Source organism: Homo sapiens, chromosome X (assembly GCF_000001405.40).
Source record: "Homo sapiens chromosome X, GRCh38.p14 Primary Assembly".
NCBI lineage: Eukaryota > Metazoa > Chordata > Mammalia > Primates > Hominidae > Homo > Homo sapiens.
Genome location: NC_000023.11, coordinates 25901855 through 25921304, shown reverse-complemented (window position 1 = coordinate 25921304; position 19450 = coordinate 25901855).

The window sequence follows — 19450 nt, the reverse complement described above, 5'->3', positions numbered from 1 at the left end:
AATTAAACTCTAACCCTGTTGGAGCAATTTAAACTCGATCCTAATGCTTTCCTCTCTGTAGCATGCCCTTTCTCATGTGACTTTGTAGTTTCTCTAGAGGCAGAGTTAACTTTCTTCTTGATTTGGGCTCAACTATATGACTTGCTTTGGCTAATATGTTTTAGCAGAAATGATGCAACCAAAATCATGAAACCTACTTGGTTAGTAGGGCTATGCTCTTGAAATTGTGCCATCACTATGAGAAGAGAATGGGTCTCAAAAATGAACTTATGTTGAATAAAATGGAGCCCAGTATATAGCCAGGAATCATGCCCAGCAGAACTTGAAATTTGAAGCAGCCACTCAGATGATTAAAGGAGTGATTACCCAATCCACAGTTAACCTCCATACCCATGTATGTGGTATGTGTAAAAGTAAATCTTTATGGTTGCATGCCACTAAGTTCGTTATATAGCATTGTTTTTGCTGTAAGTCATTGATATAATTCTTTTTTTTTTTTTTCGAGATGGAGTTTCGATCTTGTCACCCAGGCTGGAGTGCAATGGCTCAATCTCGGCTCACTGCAACTTCTACCTCCTGGGTTCAAATGATTCTCCTGCCTCAGCCTCCCGAGTAGCTAGGATTACAGGCGCCCACCACCATGCCCAGCTAATTTTTGTATTTTTAGTAGAGACGGGTTTCACTATGTTGGCCAGGCTGGTCTCGAACTCCTGACCTCAGGTGATCCACCCGCCTCGGCCTCCCAAAGTGCGGAATTACAGGTATGAGCCACCATGCCCAGCCTCACTGATGTAATTCTTAAAGGCAGACACTTTGTTGAATTTGAGTTTGTCCATAGCTTTTATCTAAATGCATATAGTAGGTGATCAAAAAAAGATTATGATATGAAATATATGAAAAGAATTATTTTCAAAAGCTCAAGCTTTGAGGACTTCATTTTCTTCTCAGTATTTTATTTGCTGTTACTTTATTATTTTATTTTTTATAATTTCAACTTTTATTTTAGATTCAGGGGATAGCATGTGCAGGCTTGTTACATGGGTATATTGTGTGATGCTGAGGTTTGGGGTATGATTGATCCCATCACCTAGGGACTGAACATAGTACCCAATAGTTAGTTTCTCAACCCCCACCCCTTCCCTGCCTCCTGCAACTATTAGTCTCCAGTATCGTTGCCATCTTTATGACCATGAGTACCCAATATTTAGCTCCTACTTATGAGAGAACAGGCAGTGTTTGGTTTTCTGTTCTTCCATTAATTCACTTAGGATAATGGCCTCCAAATGCATCCATATTGCTGCAAAGGACATAATTTTATTCTTTTCATGGCTGCGTAGTATTCTGTGGTATATATGTATTATGTTGTATTTATATAGTACACCATTGATGGGCACCTAGGTCCATTCCAGGTCTTTGCTATTGTGAATAGTGCTGTGATGAACATAGGAATGCATATTTTTGGTATAATAATGTATTTATTTATTTTTTGATATATACCTAGTAATTGGATTGCTGGGCCAAATGGTAGTCCTGTTTTAAGCTCTTTGAGAAATCTTCAAACTGCTTTCTACAGTGCCTGAATAATTTGCATTCCCGCCAACAGTTTATAAGCGTTCTCTTTTCTCTGCAGCCTCACTAACATCTGTTGTTTTGGGACTTTTTAGTCCCATTCTGACTGATACGAGATGGTATCTCATTGTGGTTTTGATTAGCATTTCTCTGATGATTAGTGATATGGAGCATTTTTTCATATGTTTGTTGGCTGCTTTTATGTCTTTTGAGAAACGTCTCTTGATGTTTTGCCCACTTTTAATGGGGTTGTTCTTTGCTTGCTGAATTGTTTAAAATTCTTATAGGTTCTGGATATTAGGCCTTTGTCAGATGCATAGTTGGTGAATATTTTCTCCCATTCTGTAGGTTGTCTGTTTACTCTATTGCTAGTTTCTTTTGCTGTACAGACGCTCTTTAGTTTAATTATGTCTCACTTGTCAATTTTTGTTGCAATTGTTTCTGGGGACTTACTCATAAATTCTTTCTGAAGGTTGATATTCAGAATGGTGTTTTCTAGGTTTTCTTCTAGGATGTTTATAGTTTGAGGTCTTACATTAAAATCTTTAATCAATCCTGAGTTAATTTTTGTATATGTTGAAATGTAGTGGTCTAGTTTCATTCTTCTGCATATGGCTAGCCAGCTATCCCAGCACCATTTCTTGAATAGGGAATCCTTTCTCTGTTGTTTACTTTGCCAGCTTTGTTGAAGAGCAGTTGGTTGTAGGTGTGCAGCTTTATTTCTGGGTTCTGTATTCTGTTCCATTGGTTTATGTGTCTCTTTTTGTACTGGTTCCATGCTGTTTTGTTCACTGTAGCCTTATAGTATAGTTTGAAGTCAGCTAATGTGATGCCTCTGGCTTTGTCCTTTTTGCTTAGGATCGCTTTTGCTATTTGGGTTATTATTTTTGTTCCATATGAATTTTAGAATAGATTTTCTAATTCTGTGAAAAGTGACATTGGCAACTTGATAGAAATAGCACTGAATTTATAGATTGCTTTGGGCCATATGGCCATTTTAACAATATTGATTCTTCCCATCCATGAGTGTGGAATTTTTTTTATTTGTTTGTGTCATCTATGATTTCTTTCAGTAGTGTTTTGTAATTCTCCTTGTAGAGATCTTTTACTGTTGTCAGTATTTATTATCAACATTGATACTCAGAAAAGCTGAAAGAATAGTACAGAGAACACCCATATACCCACCACTTATATTTGCAAACCTAACCTAAAAGTTGAGATGCCATTTACAATAACCAATAAAATAAACAATCTCATAGAATGTTCATGCACTTTTCCCCCATACATTGTGGTTATCACTTTGTATTATCATTTATTACATTCCTTAAGTAACTCAGAAAAAAAAAACAGATCAAGGCTAGTATGCTAAAGGATAACTATTTCAGGGCTTATCATTCCATCCACTATACATTGTGTAACTATAAATAAAGGCTCAAAGGTGTTTAAAACAAAGAGGTTATGAAGTTGAGGCAAACCTGGGCTAAACCACTCAGCATGCTATACACCTCTCTCATGCTATGTGCATTTGTGTTCTTTGTTGTACTGTTGAAGCACACCAAGTGTGCATTTAACTCATACTAATTTAACTACATACACTCAAAAGGGAAGAATGGAGGAATAAGAGAGAGAAGAAAAACAATTAAAATAGTGGCAGTGATTCGGTAGTTATTCCATTCAACCAAACATACAGTTAGATAGAAGAAATAAGTTCTGTTGTTCAGTAGCAGGATAGGGTGACTATAGTTTGCAACAGTATATTGTATACTTCAGAATATTCTGAAAAGACTTGAAATGTTCCTAACACATAGTAATTATGAATACTCAAGGTGATGAATGCCCCAAATTCCCTGACTTGATCATAATGTATTCTATGCAAGTATCATATACTCATATGTACTCCGTTAATATGTAAACTACTATGTATCAATAAAATATAAAAAGTAAAAAATACATATTTTCATATAGTATAACCTTTAAATATAAGCAAAATAGTTCATCTGTTGCCAAACTGAAGAAAGAGAGCTCTCCTAAAGGAAGAGCTAGAGAAAAAGCTATCTGTGAGATGGGATGTCCAGACAAAATCAACCCCCACAATTCTAAGGATGATCAAAGGTAATTTTGACTTCAAATGATATTGTGTACACTGATGTTAAAATCTAAGTCTCATGAAAAATTAATTTCAGTCCCCTGAAATGAAAATAAAACCTCCAACTCTCAAATGAATTATGAAGTATCCAATCTATCACATAGAAATAAGATTTATTAAATTTTATAATGAGTTAATATTTATCACATACTGCTACTATATGAATCATAGTTTTACAGTTTACCATCTGTAAAACGATTTCCAGTAGTTATTTGCCTAAGTTTCTTATCTCCTGTACTAGAATCTGGACGTTTTGCTCCCTTTGCATCGCTCAGAGCAGTAGAATATTTCACTGCATAATCTTGTGAATGAACAACTAAATAAATTAATTAAAAAACATGAAATTTAAACAGATACCTGAACACTTGGGAATATAGATACTATGGTTTTATATTATGCTAACTCAAAATAGAGTCAGACAAATTATGTTAAAAACAAAAGAGGAAAAAGCAGTGTTCTATAACAGCTATGACACATAGGAGATCTAATCTGATGAAAAGCAAATCTTATTTGAATCATTTAATTGTAAGGATTGACTTGAAAAAGTATAGAACTAAAAGAAAATACTACAATATTTTATAATGCTAACATTTTTTGACTTCATAAAACAATCCTATGAGGCAGGTACTATTCTTATCTTCATTTTATAGATGAGAAAAGTATCATGTGAAGTTAAGTAATTTGCCTAATGTCACACAGCTGATGTTATTGCTGGAATTTGAACCCAGGCAGGCTGGCTCCGGTCTGTATGTAGAATCTTTTTGTTACAGTACCTAGTATAGGTATATGACACTAAAAACTTAGATCTACAAACGTTTCCCCTTGTTGCCCTGTTGGGAGTGAGAATTCTTATATGTATGAATTAGATTGTGAATATCAACTCTCATTTTAAGAAATATATTCCCAAAGCAATGTACTTGGCCATGAAATAATAATTTTAAAAAGGAAAAACCTTGGGAGGCATTTCTGAATCTAACACTATATGAGGAAATAATGCACAAATCAGCAAAATCAATCAATTCTACATTGTAGAAGCAGCTTATAAGAAAATAGATAATTCTTCGGTACCAACAATTGATCAATAAATGTTTTATGGATAAAAAACAAAAGCAGTCTTTATTGTAACTGTAACTGTACTGAAGTCCAAATAAAAATGTAAATGTTGTGATAGTCTTTCTCAGCTTTATCATTAACATTTCATGTAACAAATTGCTTCTTGAACACATGTTCTATCTACAATTTATCTGGAAACATCTTTATCTATTGTGGTTTACTATCGTTTGGATAGATAAAGACAAGCACCCCAAGAATGAATACAGGCTGTATCTTGTCAATTACTTAGGAAAGGCCTGATCACTGTGTTCCCTTTACATCTGGAAGTAGGTATGTTTCTGTACTTTTCTATGTGTGTTAATAAATTCATATTTTCCAGTGCTCATTCTAATGAAAATTGGGGCTGCCTATTTCCCATTTGTTCCTCTTCTCAAATATGTTTTGTCCTCTTCTCTGCTGTCACTCCTTTCCTATGATTGAGTAGGAATAGTAGAATTCGAACTACTAAATAAATATTTGTGAATAATGAATAGTATCACATAAACAAAAATCCTTAAACCCCAACCACTTTACATGCTGATTTTCTAGCTTTCAAACATCATAATCCATGACTACTTTTCTAATTGATTATATTGACATCCAAAAAGATAAATTCAATCCAGTGAATCTTCTGATTTTATTTGGGGCAATTTTAATACAACCCAGAACTTTCAGTGAGCTCCACGGGACCTTTACTACTTCTTTTAACTTTAAGACTGACAGAATTATCTGGAATTTGATTCAGATTAACTCAGCCAATAAAGTTCTGAGGTAAAAAATAAGAGTGTGGTTTATTCCCCATAAGCCTAAAAGACATGTATTTTGTATTTTACTAGTAGCACTTCCATTCAGACCCCTGATATTTGGTAAATCTTTTATTTCATTTTGATAAGCTGTAAAATTACAACAAAAGGCCACTTTCACCTTAATTACAATATACAGTTAGAATTTGTTAAATATAATTTCAATATTAGGTAAAGGTACAATATTAAAAGGTCAAATGTTACTTCCACTGCTTGCTTTTTAAATAGCCTGTGTCCCCAAATAAGCAATCACATATATCAGCAAAGACACATTTATACTCTAAAAAGAAACTTCCACAATTAAAATACCTAAGCTTTAAAACTTCCAGAGGGATGGTTTCTAATTAGGAGGAGGGGAACATAACACTTTCATAGGTAGTAAGAAAAGTGCCTAACAAAGGATTTTAGCTAATCCTATGTGAGTGGAAATTTCAGTCAAGAGAAAAGAAACCTCATAAAAAAGACGTTGAATAGAAAAAAATAAACTTTTTTTAATGCTATAGGAAGGAGAAATACAGTAACTTTCCAAAATTTGACACATTTGTCTGTGTCACCAGATTATAGGGCAAACAGGCTATATGCGTCTATCAGAGTCAATAAGAAAACACCTTTTTAACACCTCCCATGTGATATGACCTAGGTCAGTAAAATTCAGACCTAAGGAGGAGACATCCTTTTTTTTTCAGATGTGAGTGGGAAAATACTTTGCAACACCATTGAGGTCATTATGATGAAAGTGATTAAAGGTGATCTGGGGCAAATATAACAACATAGTTTACTGACTGACGGTACAGAGTTTTAAGGTTGAAATAGCTGTATTTGATCCTGGTTCTCCTATATTTGTCTGCATGGCCATGAGTAAATTATGCAGCCTTTCAGGTCTCATCTTGCTTCTCTTTATATAATACCAAAGAAGTAGTAGACTTCTTATAAGGAATAAACAAGATTTTGTATGTGAAGCTCTTGGGACAGTGTCTATGATGCAGCAGAGCTGTAGTTATGGGTTTGAGATGTTAACAAGTCTCATAAGACAAAATTAGACTTTACTCTGATGCTACATTTACTTAGTTTCATAGAACAATTCAAGGCTGGAAATACAACAGGTAGATCATCAGCATCTCATTGGCAGGCCCAGCATCTATCCAAGTTCACAGATTCTTTTTCCCTGTTATTGTTCTACAGCATGAGCACCAAGGTGCCTGTGGGTCACCTTGAAATACAAAAGCCACAAGCCCATCTCCTTATTAATCTTTTATACGGTCCCAGTCACATAGGCCAGAGTCCTGCATGCCAAGGCAGAGCTCTGTCAACATAGGCAGTTTCCCACAACAAAGGGGGAAGACATAGCTTTTCCCATTTATCTTTACTGTTTGCAAGGAAACAATGATGCAGATCCACAGATCATTCTCTGTAAGGTCTGCATCAGCCCAAACCTGATGATAATCCTTGATTCACAGTCAAGAATGTAGAAAATGTTCTAAAAATGTTGCCTTAGCAAAACAGGTAATATTTTAGGTGAGTTAGTGTGTACTCTCACGGCTAATGAAGGGTACTGACAATAACACATAAAAGTGAAGACTGTGGAAGAATTTAAATTATCCATTGAGTATTGAGATAGTAACTGTATGCTGAAAATAGTAGGAGTTGCTTTTTTTGTCTGATCAGTATCCACTTCCTCTTTATTCTGGTAAGAATATACTATTGCAGTTTTTCTTTGTGAGGTTCATTCTTTCTTCAATCCCATGTAGTTCTGATGGGTTGACCCACGCTTCTATCTAATGGTAGGACTTGCATCACAAACATCTGCCCCTGTGGTTAATTCAGGACTGACATGTGACTTAAGCTAGGCCAATGAGTATTACCTTGGATTTTTCCAGAGACATTACGAAAGAAAAAATGTTTTTCAGCCATTAGTTTGTCACAGTAGCACTTCCTGGGAGAGTGTCAATGAACAGATACCAAATGGATAAAGCCTACCTGGGAATAAAGGAGACACAGAGAAAATCAATTACAAAAGATGAAAAGAAGATAAAATCTGAACTCTCTGGAATTTTCGAAAATGTAAGTCAATAAATTCCCTTTTTATTTTCAATTCAGTTTGAATTTGATGTCTGTTAAATGTAGTCTATAGGATTCTTGACTAATACAGGGCATGAATTGGATGGGGAGATGCACATGGAAAGAGCCTGCTTAAAGAGAAAGAGCAAAATCCATAACAAATAATTCTAGCAAGTATTTGCCAATGTAGATCAATTCCATACATGTATCAATGGCTGAAAGAGGTGGTCTGAGAAGGACTAGGACTGAGGTTGGAGAGAGGGTCAGGTAAACCATTTATTGAGAATAGACACTTATGAATGTCCCCTGGCAGATATGAACAGTCTATTGTAAAGCAAAGATGAATTGCAACAAGCTTAGTTCCTGGAAAAGATTGGCAAACCTTTGGCACACAAGACATATCCAGTCTGTTGCCCAAGACATAGGACTTGGCTTCTTTCAGGAACCAGAAATCCAGTGGGGATGGAAAAACCTGGGGTTATCCCAGAGACAGAGGCAGAAGCAGCCAGAGACCAGAGGGAAGATGAAACTGACATTTAAGAAAACTTCCTGATTGTGTTAAAAAAAATTCTCATGGATCCAGTGTGAGCAGTGTGGAGATGAAGGAGGAACATGGCTGGTATTTGGGGAGGGACTACTATGGGGCAGGCCTTGCTAGTTTACATTACTAGGAAAATATAAAAGATATTATTTGTTTCCCAAAATTACTGGGTAAGAAAATAGAAGGCCAGTAGAGCTAAAAGATTTTTTAAATGTTTGCCATTCAAATGAAATAAATACTTTTATTGAATCCAGTAAAGTTGTAGGATACAAAATCAACATACAAAAATCAGTTGTTTCTCTATTCACTAATAATACACTATCTAAAAAGAAAATTAGTAAAGCAATCCCATTAACAATAGCATCAAAAAGAATAAGGAAGTGAAGGACTTGTACAGTGAATCTCTGAAACCATAATAAAACAAATTTTAAAAGACATGAAAATATCTCCTGTTCATGATAGGAAGAATTATTATTGTCCAAAACAATCTACAGCCTCAATGCAATCCCTATCAACATCCCAATGACATTTTTTCCAGAAATATAAAAAACTATTAAAATTCATGTGGTACCACAAAAGACCCCCAAACAGCCACACAATCTTGATAAAGAAGAACAAAGCTGGAGACATCACACTTCTTGATTTCAATATATATTACAAAGTTACAACAGTGAAAACAGTAAAGTACTGGCATAAAGACAGACATACAGACTAATGGAATGGAATAGAGAATCCATAAATAAACACACATATATGGTCAACTGATCTTTAATGAAGCTTCCAAGAATACCCAATGGAGAAATAATAGGCTCTTCAACAAAGGGTGCAGGGAAAATTGAAAATCCAGCTGGAAAAGAATTAATTTGGATACTTGTCTTACACCATACATTTTATTCAAGTCAAAATGGATTAACGACTTAAGACCTGCAACTGTAACACTTGTTGAAGAAAACACAGGAAAATTCTTCATGACATTGGTCTTGGCAATGATTTCATAGATATGACACTAAAAGCACAGGCAACAAAAGCAAAAATAGATAGTGGAACTAAGTCAAGTTAAAAAGCTTCTGCACAGCAAAGCAAACAACAGAATTAAAAGGCAACCTGCGGAATGGGAGAAAATATTTGCAAACCATATAGCAGATAAGGGGTTAACTGCCAAAATATATAAAGGACTCAATAACAACAAAAACAAAACCCTAATAACCCAGTTAAATGGGCTGAGGACTTAAATAGACATTTCTCCAAAGAAGATAGACAAATGTTCAGTAAGTATATCAAAAGATGCTCATCATGACTAATCATCAGGGAAATGCAAATCAAAATTATAATGAGATGTCACTTCACATCTGCCAGAATAACTACTATCAGAAAAGTCCTCTAAAACAAAAGACAAATGTTGGCATGATTATAGAGAAATTGCAACACTTGTACACTGTTAGCAGGAATGCAAAATGGTGCAACCACTATGGAAAACGATATGAAGCTTCCTCCAAAAATTAAAAATAGAACTATCTTATGATCCAGCAATCCCACTTCTGAGTATTTAGCCAAAAGAACTGAAATCAGGATCTCAAGAAGTTATTAGCACTCCCATATTCACTGCAGTACTATTCGCAACAGCCAAAATGTGGAAACAACCTAAATGTTCATCAAGGGATGAATGAATAAAAAATACAGCATATGCATACAATCGAATATTACTCTAAATATACAGAAGGAAACCCTGCTATATGCAGTAACATGGATGAGCTCTGAGGACACTATGCTAAGTGAAATAAGCTAATCAAAGAAGGGCAAATACTACATGATTCCACTTTTATGAAATATCTAAAATTATAAAATTTATGGAAGCAAATAATAGAATTTGGGGTATCAGAGATTTGGGGAAATGGGGAGTTGCTAATCAGCTATGCAAGGTGAATACATTCTAGAGATCTGCTACACAACATTATTCCTGTTAACAATATGGTATTGTATACTTTAAAATCTGTTAAGAGGGTAGATCTCATGTTAAATGTCTTACCACAACAAATTTTTAAAAAAATGAGTAACATAGTTAACAGCAAAAAAGCAGTGATTATATATTTTTTAAAAATAGTAGAAAATGGGACAATTTCTCTTAAGGACAGTCTCATTAGTGGAGATGTTATGTAGCATTAGATATTCACATAAAAACATCAAAATTTTTAAAAAAGCAGTATCATATATATAGCAATAAAATATTTCTCTTATTGGTTAATAGAAAATATTGATGACACAAAAATATACTAGAGACTTAAAATCAAACTTGATATAATACAAGTAAACATTACAGGGTTATGTGATATATTCTGGTCAGGCATTTCTGTAAATTAGGTAAAATGAAGCGTACATATACAAAAGTATCAGTATATAAAACATCATTCCTAAAAACTGCAGATGATTGAAAGTTAAGCTGTTCTTTAATAGTCTAATATAATTTATTCACAATTTACTACATGATAATGTTAACAATAAGCATATAGTACTTAATGAGGGCTCACTATGAATATGTTGAGTAGTTTCACATATGTTTTCTAATTTATTAAAAGAATTCCCTCAGGCTCCAGCACACTACAAGATCAAATGGCATCATATTAAAAGTAAAAACCTAGATTTCCATGGCTCTTACCCCCAGTGCTTATAAAGGACCTCCACTTACCTGCAAAAATCTCACGCAGTTATATCTGAGAGTCTGCAGGTGTGAACCTATGTATGTTCATTTAAGTGCCTAAAGTTGCTGGGTACCTTCATAGTCGCAGGCAATGGGCATACTATTGAAAACTATTTATTTTCAGGCACTGCGGGACACTCTGTTATTCCTCCAGACATCCAGAGACAAAGTCTCTCCTAGTCATCCTCTGGGTGCCATGTCCTATTTCTGTTAGGTCAGACATCTAGAATCGTCACTGAGCACTACAAATGAAGCCTTGACACACTTCTGTTGGCAAAGCTGTTCAAGACTGGTGCAGTGAAGTAGTACAGTGAACCCTTAAATCAGAGTCTCTGGGTCTACCTGCCTACTGTGGCATGTGCTTGTTCACTGTTATTAGTATACTGCAAAAGATGAAGCATCTGATAAATGTTGTCTTCTCTGCTGTGTTTAAGTTCCCATTCAACCAGATATTTGGCTCTTTGTTCATGCCAACTTGCAAAAAAGTAACTGACAGCCATGTATTAGCAATGAATTGGCTGGCCATCAGTTCAGTGTTGTTTTGGGGATACTGCCAATGCAATGGCTCAAACTCCCCATAACCGACCCGATACTCTAGCCAGAGATTTTTAAAAAATTATATGTTAGAGATGCTCTAAGTTTGCGTGGAAACAAACATGAGAGTATTTTCTCCATCTATTTAATATAACATTGAATCAGTATGTCATTAGCTCTGCCCTGGCCACCTCTAAAAGTCACCATATTGAGAAAGCTCCTCAGCTTACCTTCATGATAAAATTAAAAGCTTAAAGAAAAAGAAGGAGGTTGTTTCTCCTGTTAAGAAAATTAAGGCCTGAAATGATATTTTTAAATGCCTATGCAGTTTAGAATACAAAAGCAGTCAAGAGTAAAATGAAGAACCAGCAAGGATCCATCCACAAAGGAGCACTTGCCCAAGGATCTGCATCCCTAACATTTACACTCATTAAGATTTGAGAAACAATTTGAGGCAGTTGTTACCAACCCTTGCAGTATAGTAGAAGCATCTGGGGGAGGATTAACAAACACTGTATTCTGGATCCCAGCCCCAAATCTCTGATGTAATTGGTCTGGCACAGAGTCTTTCTGCTCCACAGGTGATTCTAATATGCAGTGAACGTTGAGAACCACTGTGACAGGGGAATATGATATTGATTGCTGAAAACATTTACAAAGGTGTTTTAAAGGCCATTTCTCTTCTGAGAAGAAATGTGAAGAAAGTGTTCATCAGTATGGCAAAAGAAACTGGGGAGGTTTTTCTAGGAGAAATAATGGTGAATATGAAAACTCAGAGGCAAGCCTAAGACATGAACTCTCAAAAGTAATAAGGTTTGGAATACAGAGGTTTGTGAACATGACCGGGTGGAAAATAGGGACGTTTAGATAAAAGTGAATAAAGAAGTTGAGTACCTTACTACCCGGAATCAGGAAATTAAATTCAAATTGAGAGCCAATTAAGAGCCATCACAGGAGTCTGCAAATGGCAGTGGCATGATGAAAGCCATGTTTAAAAATGAAAACGTTGGCCGGGTGTGGTGGCTCATGCCTGTAATTCCAGCACTTTGGGAGGCTGAGGCAGGCGTATCACTTGAGGTCACGAGTTCGAGACCAGCCTGGCCCGCATGGCAAAATCCCATCTCTAACAAAAATACAAAAATTAGGTGGATGTGGTGGTGCGCGCCTGTAATCCCAGCTACTCGGGAGGCTGAGGCAGGAGAATCGCTTGAACCCAGAAGGTGGAGGTCGCAGTGAGCCGCATTGTGCCACTGCACTCCAGCCTGGGTGACAGAGTGAGACTCTGTCAAAAAATAAATAAATAAATAAAAAGAAAAAAGAAGAAAACATCACTAATAGCATAGCAAGGTAGTCAATCCAATGTATGTTTTTAAAAAACCACCTCAAGGGAGCTGCATTTCCTTGTTTCTCCCTAAAAGGCATTTTAAGCTACAACAATGAAATAAATATATCCGCAAGGAAACTGTGTGTAGGATCATTAAATCATCTAATATTTAACAATGCAATTTTATTATGTCTGTTGAGTTAGGCCAGATTACAATTGTTAGTATATGTTTAAAGATTGATGAAAATGAAGATTTCAAGTTAATTTGACTTTTTTGCCAACAAGCAGGGCAAAGGATCCATGTACCTGCTCGTGACGCCATGAAACCTGAGTTGTTCCTTGGCAAGCAAGTATGCTTGAAGTTAGATTGCCAGAGTAAGCAGGAAGTGAGGACTCTATCATGTGAGAAGAGCCAAGAACCATGGACTCAGTACTTTTAAAATTATTCTGCTTAAGGTTTTTTTTTTGTACATCAGCATTCAAAGATCCCCTTCAATATAAAAGGACATCGTTGCAGGACCACAGTAACATACTTTCTTGTTCTAATTTTTACTTTGTTCTTGGGACAGCAGTGGGCCTGAAGACTACCAACTATACCTGGCAACAACCAAATCAGGAATGTGTTCTGTTGAACCATTGGGTATGTTAACGGTGCTTGTCAATGGAGCTGAGTAGATTCAGATAAGGGGATGCTCTGTCTAAGAGCTAATCAGTGACTGGATGATTAGTTGAGGTCATTCGGTTTAGGTGTGGTGCTTCTAACCTAAATATGTCAAATTAAAAGTCTTTAATTTGGGACTTACAAAACAAGGATTTGAGGAGAACCCAAAAAAAATTTTGGTAGAATCGTATGAAAGATGTATTAAATAGCTAAACTTAGCACTTATATAATTAATTGTAACAAATTTGGCCCAGTTATTGTCAGACTCTGCCAGGTTTCCAAGGCTTATATTCCCCTTTCCCAACATATGAGACAATTTGCCTTCTACCTGATGCTTCAAATTTTAAGACATATTATGACCTTATGTGGTCAGAGTTCCTTAAGCTATAATCCTTGACCAGCTGTATTAAAATCCTCGAGCTTCTTTCTCCAAAAATGTGACTCCTTGGTCCTATCAGAGACCTCTTCAGTCAGAACATCTGGTGGATAGAGACCATTAATATCCATTTGTCTATGTTATCCAAATACCAAAGTTGAAAACCACTGCTCTGGTAACTTTCAAATATAGTACTTCCTAAAGTCAGGGAGTTGTATACTAAGCAGGAGTTTTATGCTACCAGCCTAATACCAGACTGGGTACCAGCATTTGGATACTGATGTTCTAAGGCCTGCAGGTATCACATCCCCACTTGACACAAATTCCTCCTGGTCCTGTTGACCAGTTTTGGTCCTCGCCTAGTATTAAAGTCACTCTCCCAGACTATCACATATTTTGGTTGTTAATAACCCCACTGATGCTAAATCTCAGTGATTGCTATGGCCTCCACTAGCACATTGTCAGCTTCTAACAGTTCTTTCTCTATGGTCTGGGATGGAAAATGATACAATATTTCAAGATACTGCTGATTATGGTCTGATTAGCAGTAATGAGACAGAAAAGAATAAGGAGAGCCACTATCTCAAAGTAGACATACCCATTTGAACAGGCATATTCTAGAGGGCAAACTCAATTATTAGCTTAGATAGGAAATCCAAGCCCTAGGGTGTGGGTGAAGGATCAAAGTGGTTTTTTTTTTGTTGTTGTTGTTGTTTTTAGTATTTATTGATCATTCTTGGGTGTTTCTCGGCGAGGGGGATTTGGCAGGGTCATAGGACAATAGTGGAGGGAAGGTCAGCAGATAAACATGTGAACAAGGGTCTCTGGTTTTCCTAGGCAGAGGGCCCTGCCGCCTTCCGCAGTGTTTGTGTCCCTGGGTACTTGAGATTAGGGAGTGGTGATGACTCTTAAGGAGCATGCTGCCTTCAAGCATCTGTTTAACAAAGCACATCTTGCACCGCCCTTAATCCATTTAACCCTTAGTGGACACAGCACATGTTTCAGAGAGCACGGGGTTGGGGGTAAGGTTATAGATTAACAGCATCCCAAGGCAGAAGAATTTTTCTTAGTACAGAACAAAATGGAGTCTCCTATGTCTACTTCTTTCTACACAGACACAGCAACAATCTGATCTCTCTTTCTTTTCCCCACATTCCCCCTTTTCTACTCGACAAAACCGCCATCGTCATCATGGCCCGTTCCCAATGAGCTGCTGGGTACACCTCCCAGACGGGGTGGCGGCCGGGCAGAGGGGCTCCTCACTTCCCAGACAGGGCGGCCGGGCAGAGGCGCCCCCCACCTCCCGGACGGGGCGGCGGCCAAGCGGAGGCGCCCCCCACCTCCCGGACGGGGCAGCTGCCGGGCGGGGTCTGCCCCCCACCTCCCTCCCGGACTGGACAGCTGGCCGGGCGGGGGCTGCCCCCCACCTCCTGGACGGGGCGGCTGCCGGGCGGAGACGCTCCTCACTTCCCAGACGGGGCGGCTGCCAGGCGGAGGGGCTCCTCACTTCTCAGATGGGGTGGCCGGGCAGAGACGCTCCTCACCTCCCAGACGGGGTGGCGGTCGGGCAGAGACACTCCTCAGATCCCAGATGGGGTCGTGGCCGGGCAGAGGCGCTCCTCACATCCCAGATGGGGTGGCGGGGCAGAGGCGCTCCCCACATCTCAGACGATGGGCGGCCGGGCAGAGATGCTCCTCACTTCCTAGACGGGATGGCGGCCGGGAAGAGGCGCTCCTCACTTCCCAGACTGGGCGGCCGGGCAGAGGGGCTCCTCACATCCCAGACGATGGGCAGCCAGGCAGAGACGCTCCTCATTTCCCAGACGGGGTGGCGGATGGGCAGAGGCTGCAATCTCGGCACTTTGGGAGGCCAAGGCAGGCGGCTGGGAGGTGGAGGTTGTAGCGAGCCGAGATCAAGCCACTGCACTCCAGCCTGGGCAAGATTGAGCACTGAGTGAGCGAGACTCCGTCTGCAATCCCGGCACCTCGGGAGGCCGAGGCAGGCAGATCACTCGCAGTCAGGAGCTGGAGACCAGCCCGGCCAACACGGCGAAACCCCGTCTCCACCAAAAAATACAAAAACCAGTCAGGCGTGGCGGCGCGTGCCTGCAATCCCAGGCACTCGGCAGGCTGAGGCAGGAGAATCAGGCAGGGAGGTTGCAGTGAGCTGAAATGGTGGCAGTACAGTCCAGCCTCGGCTCGGCATCAGAGGCAGACCGTGGAAAGTGGGAGACGGAGACGGAGATGGAGAGAGGGGGAGGGGGAGAGGGAGAGGGCAGGATCAAAGTGTTAAATGTAGGGATGGTACTCCAGGGACTCTTTATTGGAGGATTCAAAATAAAACTGTGCTGATTTCTTAATTGCTGGCAATGGCAATGGAAGAAACAACAGTCAACATTGGAAAATCAGGATTGACAGATTTTGGGATCATGTAATCTTAGAAGTGGGTAACAGAGTTCCAAGTATTGGTCTTTACTATAAGGGCAGAATTCCACCCAATTGGAGTGAATTTTTTTTTCTTAAACTTCATTTCTTATAGAAGCTACCAAGTCAATAACTTACAAACAGGCAACCCCTCTTTGGCATATGATATAGGGACATATCTTAGAACCTACCGGAAGAAAGGGTGACTTGATGGGCTGGAGCCTCCTAAATCTCTCCTCTGTTAGGTTGAGCCTGAGGCTGCTTATCAGAATTATCTTCAGAGCATCTTTGTTATTATTATTTTGTTGTTTGTATACAGATCCAGAAATCCAAGAAGCATATAATGAGAATCTCCTATGTTTTGTACATTTTAAAACTGCACTGGTCATTCATATGAGCTACCAGTCCTAAAAATCAGAATCAGGCTGAATCTGAAAGGGGTACAGGGCAATGGGCAGTAGTGGTGAAAGTGTCAAGTGGATGTAGCTATTGGGCCAATCAAAATAAACCTCTGGGCAAAGTGCTATTAAGAATATTAATCCTTAAGAAACATAAAGCAATTCTTTTTTTCTGGTCCACCTACTCCCTTGAATCATAAAATGTAAATAAAAAGAGTTCTGCTTTGTATTCCAAAATTGTGGAGGGTTGAGAATTACTGCAATCCCAGGAACGGGGAGCCTTTTCAGCACTTTTACCTTTCTCTTGCCCCTGCAAATATAGGTTACCTTGACACACAAGATTTTGTTTATACCCTATGGACCATTACACATTTAAGTCTGTTATTCAAAAGAATTTCCTACTATGAAAAATCTCTGAAACATCTAAAGAAAGTAATTTTGGCATTTTTCTATCATTCAAAAATTGATAAGTGATTCACTTCTCACCTCCCAGTTATATTATTTTAGATGAGAGAATTTTGTTATCAGTGATTCTTTCATATCTGTTCAGAAAACCCATTACAAACAACCACAGGAAAGCAACCATCATCTCTCTAAAAGTGAGAGTAAACACAAGGCTTAATTTGTTCATGTGCAGTAAACAGTTTATTTTTGAAAGCAGAACCTAAAGTGATTTTATTTCTTTGTGGTCATTTTGATCTCCCCAGCTGAAAGATATTACTGAGATAAGAAGCGTCAAAACCTAGCACCAAGTAATCAGAGTTGAAGGAATATAACTTTCTTTGGCATTATTGTCTTAAATCTTCTTTGGCTCGGGATAGTAAAGCTTGTACCCCTTACGGGCTTTCTTCTGAGATGGCTTGAGATATGAATCAAGCCTGTAGAGACTTTAGTAGCCAAATAGTGAAATACAAAGATTCAGTTGGTAATTAGGTGCTTGGGATTCAGATCTTGCTGCCAAATGAGGAAAAGAAGGCACAATCTGTTATATTGCTTCTAAGTTGTAAAGGCTAGGTCACTTTGTGATTATGTTTGTCAGATACCCAAGATCATTATCACCATGGAAAAAGACAACCAACTCCAAAACAGCTTTGATCAGCAGGAGTACACACCATGGATCTGGGACTAGAGAGGACATCATATCCCTGAGACCAGAGTGGCTTTAGAGTGGGAGTTTAGTATTGCTAATTGGCTCACTATTTACTGAGGGATACACCCACCACCCTCCTGTTGCAACATGCACTCAGACTAGTAGAGCTCTTGTATGCATTGTCTTTTTCTTTTAAATGAAAATATTAATTCTATGAAAGATGGTTTCACAGCAGGTATAAATATCTAAAGCTGTAGTTCTTTACTGATGCCAAGGAATCCATACTATTTGTTGTTTAAATTGAAAGTCAGTTCTCTTGTGACTGTACCTTATTCAGTTATATTTTGACTTTGACAGACAGTATTTTTCCTCATGCAACCTTTTCTGAAGCTGAACAGACAACCTCCATAAACAAATAATTGATACTTCTCTAGAAAATATAAGCCTTAAGGTACAATATTCTGTCTTTGGAAATAGTAAAAATATATACAAGGAATAAGCTGGTTTATAACAAGAAAGCCAACTATTATTTCAAATCTCCAGACTAACACTTTCACCTTTTCACTTTATTCCAGATAACTGCTGCATGAAGGTAAGTATGGGGGAAAAAGGAATCTGACACAAACTTGGTTTCTAGTGTACTCTGGAATGAGATGATCAGTGCTGGATCGGACCCTGATCCAACTTGGGTCAACCATGCTCTTTTCCATGGGAATTTTAAAGTCAGACTGAGAGAAAGAATGGCTAACCCTGCTAAACATAAAGTCAACATCTATGAGTTGTTTTCGACAAATCATCTACCATATATTTTTTCTTTAGGAAAATCAGGGGAAGCCTATCTCAAAGGCAAAAACAAAATAAGCAAACAAGCACAGAGTGACAAACAAGATGTGCAAAAGGAATACCAGGGAAAACTGCTTATAGTTCACTTCTGTGTTCTGGAAAAATCCCTGACTCAAAGTTCATTGAGATACCTCTGAATCCTGATATTAAATATCACCCCCACATTTTGTATGTATAGTCTAACGCAAGTAATGCAGTTTCCCTGACTAGCAACAGCAATCTTTTCTAATCATTAATTTTAAAATGTGGAAAAAAAGATCTTACTGCTAGTGATCAAAAATGTAAAATCTCTGGTAATAATAAACTTAATACAATGTTATAAATGATATGGGATTTTATATCAAAATATAATTACTAAAGTATATAAAAGATATGCATAAATGGAAAGAGGTAATCAATTTCTGTGTGAAAAAGACTCATATAAAGACAAATTCTCATTCACTTAAATTATATTCTGGATAAATTATGGCTATCTTTTAACTTAACAAAATGATCCTAAACTTCTTTTTGAAAGAATTAACAAAAAAATTAGAAGAAGGTAACTTCCAGTGCTGTATATTAGAATCTATATTAAAATGCTAATTATTACAATACTGTGGAAAAGTGCAGGAATAGAGAGATCTCTGAAACATAAAATCCAGAAACAGATCAAGTTTTACCTAAACAATTACTGTTTAATTAAGAAGGATAATCTAATAAATAGGGCTTGGTTAAATTATTATTTTTGGAAATATAAATTAAAATTGGAGCCATATATGCAACTATACAACAAAATCAATCCCAGGTAAATTAAATACAGAAATGTAGTTAAAAATCACACACGTACACAAATTAGAATAATGTATGGTTAAATATTAATTTGATTCCTGGTCAAGGAAGACCTATTTAAGTACAAA